At 36.7% G+C, this 6,750-nt stretch overlaps 1 annotated feature.

Annotated features, from left to right (window-relative positions):
• Nucleotides 6,165-6,334: an enhancer, noted in NCBI's record as "experimental_66071 CRE fragment used in MPRA reporter constructs". NCBI's record gives its function as "activates a minimal promoter by MPRAs in K562 erythroleukemia cells, with activity observed for both the introgressed and non-introgressed 3:162067622 variant alleles {active_cell/tissue: K562}" and the evidence as "EXISTENCE:reporter gene assay evidence [ECO:0000049][PMID:34662402]".

Raw genomic sequence — 6,750 nt, 5'->3', positions numbered from 1 at the left:
GCATAATGATGTGGCAGCCCCAGGGACCTAGTCCCTGGGACCTGAACCTGAATATCCCTGGGACTTGGAGCTACAGGTTCCAGCATGAGCCTGGGTCAGGCCTGCAAGCTCAGCCTGTGGGTACCAGCCTGACGTCTGGGGTTTTGGGAGCCTTTTCAGTGCTGAGTTTTAGTGGGATGGGCCTTGTGTTGGGGTACAAGGCAAAGTCTGATGCTCACTTCTCTCTCCTTTTTTCTGAGTAAAAGGTAGCTCTCTCTATGCTGTACTTCCCCAGGTTAGGTGAGGGGTGGCATGGGTAATGTAAAATGGTTCTTCCTACCCTCTTCAATGTATTTCATTTTTTAAATTTTTGTGGCACCCTTAATTTTGGTAACCTTTCGCTGGATTTCCTTCCGTCTCATCAAGGTATTTTTGTACATGAATAATTGTTCAAGTTGATGTTTCCGTGCACAAACATGAGGGAATCCTCTTCCACTACCTTGCTTGGATAGCCTCAACAGTAAAATAGTTATTTTAGTTAAATAATGTAGATATTGCTCCACTAACTAAGGCACCAAATAAAATGGAGAGTTTATGGAAAGTGTGATTATTTATTCCTCTTTATAGGTGCTTCGACAAATGTTTAAGAAAATGTTCAGCTGATATTAAAAACATTATTTCTGATGGTGCGATTTTGGATATATTGCCATTTTTGTTGCATTTTACAACCTAAATATTTATAAAAAGAATATATTTCAAAATAAAATAAAGCCTTTTTTAAGAGGAAAGAATTAAAGTAGCAAGGAACATGGATAGAAACAGATTCATTGGGAAAACATAAAATACATTAGAGGAAAATGCACACAAAACTAAGGAGCACTTGTTTCATAAACTGAAGAAAAGTTTCCATGCCAAGCTGAAATGTTTAAACAAAGAGTAATTGTCAAACAAAAAGAAATCATTGGAACACTTTATATAGAGTAATAGAGTAAGGTATGTTCTTCAAGAGAATTGATATGCCAGGCATGGTCAGAGGGAAGAATTCAGGTAAAGACATAAGAGAGAGATGTTTGGAATAGCAAGAAAAATTGCAGTTTGCTTTTTTCAATTGATATAAAATAGGTAATGAGGCCTGCACTGAAAAAAAATAAAGATTTTGGTTTTTGATTTTTTTTTTATTTTCTATTTTTCTTTCTAGCAACTTCCTGACCCAAATGCCATATGGAGAATATCAAAACGTATGGAAAGTACAAGTTATGATTTGTTCCTTTTCCCTAGCTCTAGATCAAGTTGCTTAAAAATGCATTGCAAATGTTTTAACCAATTATGTCACCCAGGACAATGAAATAAAAGTAATATATCATTTAATAAGTTGTATTTTTAGGTATTTTGTCCAGAGAAGAGCCAGTGCGGGTGTCTCAAAACACAGATGGTTTAACTCATGGCTGGAAAACTAAATAAGCATCATTTTTACTACACACATTCCATTTGGTGTTTGAAGTGTACTTCAGCATAGATGTAAAGTACTACAATTTTTTAAAGAAAACCACTTCATTCTTTTACCTAACAACAATGCAATGTCTGGAAGATTCTCAAATGCCAAACATATTACTTAGGTGTCTCATCCTTAAGAACCTTAAGCCTGCTCTATCCTAGGGTTTTAGGATTGTGTTCTACAGCAGTATTGTCTGGTCAGAGGAACTTATAATCTAAAAATTTTTTTGCAGAACTATAAATAGCCATATATATATATATATATCAGGCATAGTAAGGATTTATTGTCACAGGAGTGGTGTGAGAGGCTGTTGTAAAATAATTGGTAGAAGTATAGAATGCTATAGAATTTCTGCTTGATCCCCACAGTGGCAATGATGGGGATTATCCCTCTTTTGCTACACCTCAAGGCAAGTGATGGAGGCATCAAGAGAGCCCTCCCCGAGACTGTGGATGCTTGCTAAAGGGGAAGCGCATATCGTACAACCTGAAAAAAATATTAACGGAGCTGCTGAAGCTTCAGCTTGGCCACAGCAGCCACCAGAGCAGAAGTCAAGAGCGCTTTGAGAGAAAATTACATATAAAAGTTGGAGGTGGGACATAGTTACCTGTAACAACTTTTATCTAGAACATTCTGACAAGAAGCAACCTTGGGAAGCCTGCCAAGAAAGACAGAACAGTAACGAGAGAAAGCTGCACTCCTGGTGTTGGTGACAAAAAAGTACCTTGGTTCTCTCAGGCTAAGTGCATATCACAAAGGAAGACAGAATTGGCATATAATAAAAAGACACTGCCCAAAAGGAGCATCTATTGAACAAAGGGGTCTGTAATGCATTCATATCATTATGGTGTTGCCTTGGCATCCACTGTGAGTATAAGTTGGACTTTCTCATACCAGAAGTGGGTCACAGTCACCTATGAGACAGTTTTCAACTCTTCAGCTCACTCCCCCTCAAACCCTGCCAGTTCCTCATTGTGGTATTACACGACTGCCTTATACAACTTCCTCTTCATGACCACCTGTCTGTGGGACAGCTAGATAAAACATACTTGAGCAGCCTCACTGACCCCCTCATGGACTGTGTAGGTATTTTCACAGTAACCACCTTTCAGTCACAGCATGACCTTCTGGAACTTGTGCCTCCTTGCTTCAAACCCACCCATTAAAACTTGCTGCAGGAACCCCGTTTGGATAATGCCCCAGACTCAATAAAAGCATTGGCTCACAGATTGTTATCCCTCTCTTTCCTGGTGCTGACCCACCTCCATTATGGCATGGTGTGTACCTCCAGGGCCTGTAAGTAAAAACATTTTAATTTTCAACTTGTGTTTTTCTTAGTCATTAAAAAGGTACTCACCACCTTAAAGATCCCAAATTAATACAGAGTGCCAGCAAAAAAGAATCTATATGGAATTTCATCACAAGGTAACAGCTGTGGGTTGACAAATATGCAGTCACAGAGCATATTGCCATATCAGTGGCCAGTGAAATTCAGAGGGCTTTGAAAGAAGCTACTACTAATACTACTCAGAAAAGCAAAAACTAGAACATTTGCTTTGAAAAAGAGTTTTTACCAGCTAATACTAAATCACAGCTATCAGCTAAGTGCAGAGATGTTTGCCCTTATTCTTCTCAACTGTGCACTAGCCAAAAGCTGAGTGCAAGGAGAAGAATTAAAAGAAACAAGAAGGTCCAAAACAGACTACAACATCCTCCCTTACTTCTTGTCCTAAAAAAGCAGATCAAGCGTGAGCTGAGAGTTCAAGGAGGAGACTGGAAATAAATGTGAGAACAAGACTTGCCTTAAATACTAGTTTCAGAAAATGAAGTTATTTTGATGTCTGAAAATGAAGAGAATGTTATGAGATCTACCCAAGATTTTAATAAATGTGTGGGGAATTAGTATCTGATAAACTATGTTTGAAAGAAGTGGCCAGAAAAGAATAAGGTAATTCCCTGATAATAACTATCCTATTCAGCATGTTCAGTAGCTATTGAATGGGAAATGTGGTGAACTATGAAAGATAACTTATCAGAATAATTCACCCATGATTTTGAAACTTTGTTCTTCTACAGACTGACTTTTCATGTCATCAAAAAAGGAGAAATTTCTATTCTTATTTGATACTACCTAAAAATGTTTTATATAAAACCTTAAATCTCAACTGTTACAACATCATAGAATTTATAAAGCCTCACTTCTTTTAAATAATCATATAGGAACCAGTTTTATCTGCCTCAAAATGTAAAGTCCAAACCTAACCTAATCAGACAACTTTTCAGTTATATAACATAGGCTAATGGGGCTTTTCTCATAGGAATTTAAGAATAAATGGTGTGTTTCTGCGTGAGTAGAAGAGAACAAGGAAGAATATCCCAGAGGTGGCTTAGATAGGACTAATATAAACTCACCAAACTCATAAAAACTAGTCCTTTCTGGCACTAATTAATAGCTCAAATCATTAAATCTCTAGGGGCTTAGAAAACCCCTGGCCAGTCCAGACATCAGTGCCCATGTATCCACAAAGGAAACTAGTAGAAATTGTCAAGACTGGAGGGGCTTTATGTCACTGGTGATAGCTATTTACATCTGGTGAAAGAACACCATCAAAGTGATGTGCAATATTTATTAAGGCAGGATCCAGAGCTAGATGAAGAAAGAAACTGCATAGGAATGGAGAGAGCTCTTAGCAATAAGCTTAGCTTTTTGGAACGAACCTCTGTTTGATAAACAGAAACCAAGGTCCACAGATGGACAAATTAGTCCAGAAAATAAGAGGTAAAATTAGGAATAGGAAAAACAGCCTGCCTTTAAGTATCTCACACATATATATTTTAAACATTTTATTGAAGTGTAATACAAATGAAAGTGCAAATATTGCGTCAGTTTGATAACTTTAAACAAATTAAACACACCTACATCATCAGGACCCAAAACAAGAAACAGAACATCATTGGGGTTCTAGATGTCAGTATAATGATGCCTTCTATCTACTACCATCTCCTTAAGGTCCCTTTTACGCCACCCCTTAAAAGCACACTTTAGTTTTATCTGAATATTCTTATATTTTTATAAATTAAATTATACAGTATGCATGCTTTTGCCTCTGGCTTTTCTAATTCAAAAGTATTTTGTAATATTCATGAATATTATCATGTGTAGTTGTAGGTCATTAATTCTCATTGCTGAATACTACTCCATGTGTCAATATACTGCAATTTATCTATTCACTCTTTTCTTAATGGTCACATGGGTAATTTCTAGTGTGAAACAATTATGAATAGTAGCACTATAAACATTCTAACTCATGTCTTTTGTTAAGCATATATACCTGTTTCTATTTCTGTGGGTTTTTTCTTGATACAGCATTGCTACATCATGAAATACGCAACTCAGCCTTAGTAAATGTGATTAACTGCTTTCCCAAGGCACTGTAGTAATTAATACATCCACAGCAATGTAGAAAAATTTGGTTTGGCTACACATCTTCATCACACTTGACATTTTGTATTTTTTCATCTTAGCCATTCTAATGGCTTCACCTTAGAATTTTGATTTGCATTTCTTAATGACTAATGAAGTGGGACACCTTTTTATATCTATATTGGTCATTTGGTTATTTTCTTTATGGTGTCTTCACATTTTCTTCCCATTTTGCTATTAGATTGTTAGATTTTTTTCTTATTTTTTAGGCATTCCTTATATATTCGAGATTATAAGTCCTTCATTCAGGCAGATTTTTTCCTACTCTCTGTGTTATTTTTTCACACTATTAATGTTTTTTTTTTAATTACAGAAGTTGTTAATTTTAGGGCCAGGTGCAGTGTCTCACATCTGTAATCTGGGCACTTTGGGAGGCTAAGGTGGGCAGATCACAATGTCAGGCGATCGAGACCATCCTGGCTAACATGGTGAAACCCTGTCTCTACTAAAAATACAAAAAATTAGCCGGGCATGGTGGTGGGCGCCTGTAGTCCCAGCTACTTAGGAGGCTGAGGCAGGAGAATGGCATGAACCCAGGAGGCAGAGCTTGCAGTGAGCCGACATTGTGCCATTGCACTCCAGCCTGGGTGACAGAGCGAGACTCTCTCAAAAAAAAAAAAAAAAGTTGTTAATTTTATTATAATCCAATTTATCTTTTTTGAGATTTATGGTTATTTTTGTGTCTTGTTTAAGAAATCTTTGCCTGCCCCACAGTCACAAAAATGTTCCGTAAGTTGACCTCTAAAACTTGTACTGTCGTACTCCAGGCATGTTTAAATATCTTATGAGTAAACCCAGGGCACTAAGGCAAAAGATTCTGTCTAAACCCCATTGACTTGTATAGAAGTTTCTAATTTGCCATCAGATCAGGCAGGGATCTAGGTTCAGAGTCAAGACAGGGTTATGCCTACTTAAGGCAGGACTTTCAAAAATTGATCTGAGCATGGAAGCTCTGGGCTAAGATTTTTGAAGAAAAGGTGCAAGCTGTTTCCAGTTCAGTTAATGTCTACTTATGAACTGAGAAATATGAGAGTCATATGGCTGAAATTTGCAAGAAATGTCAAAATAACTAATTATTACAATGGCACTGATTTTTATACCATGATATCAAGCTGTTTCAGACTCACCTGTAGCCTGAGGCACAAGCTATTAATGTACATGGTATAATGGCCTCCCTCTCCTGTTATCATTCCAGAGAGTTATTTGAATCTTCCATGTAGTGGAATTCAGGGTGGTATAGACATATTAGAAAATGCTTAATGTATACATCAGTGACTTAGCAACTGAGACAATCAATGGTTGCTGGTTACAGATTGATGGCTTGATACATTGAGAGCATTAAAAGTTTCTGTATTTAAATACATATCTCAATTGACCCCAATTATTTTGGTTTCTTTCAAAATTTTCAATGTTTAGCTTTAATCCTTTTATGGCCATTTATTATCCCAATCTTATTTCCAAGAAATAGGATCATAAAAGATAGTCTAACATTCGGGAGTGCAGACTAGGGCAACTCATTTCAGCTATCACATTTTCATCAGGTGAAATTTAAAACTAATTGATCTTGGAAAAACTTAATGTGCCTTAGGGAAGCCAGACTGTTACAAAACCCAGATTTCAAAGCTTTACATATTTAGGGGTTTTGACAAAAATAAAATTTGAAATATTTTTCATGCTCACCTAAGGTCAATTCATTTTTCCAATGATTAGATGCAAGGAAAGTAAAAGAAAACTTTCAGCAGTTAGTTCCAATTCACCTCATTCTCATTAGGCTCAAGAAATCTGTATTTTA

This window comes from Homo sapiens, chromosome 3 (genome assembly GCF_000001405.40).
Source record: "Homo sapiens chromosome 3, GRCh38.p14 Primary Assembly".
Classification (NCBI taxonomy): domain Eukaryota; kingdom Metazoa; phylum Chordata; class Mammalia; order Primates; family Hominidae; genus Homo; species Homo sapiens.
This window is presented reverse-complemented; position numbering and strand designations above follow the sequence as displayed.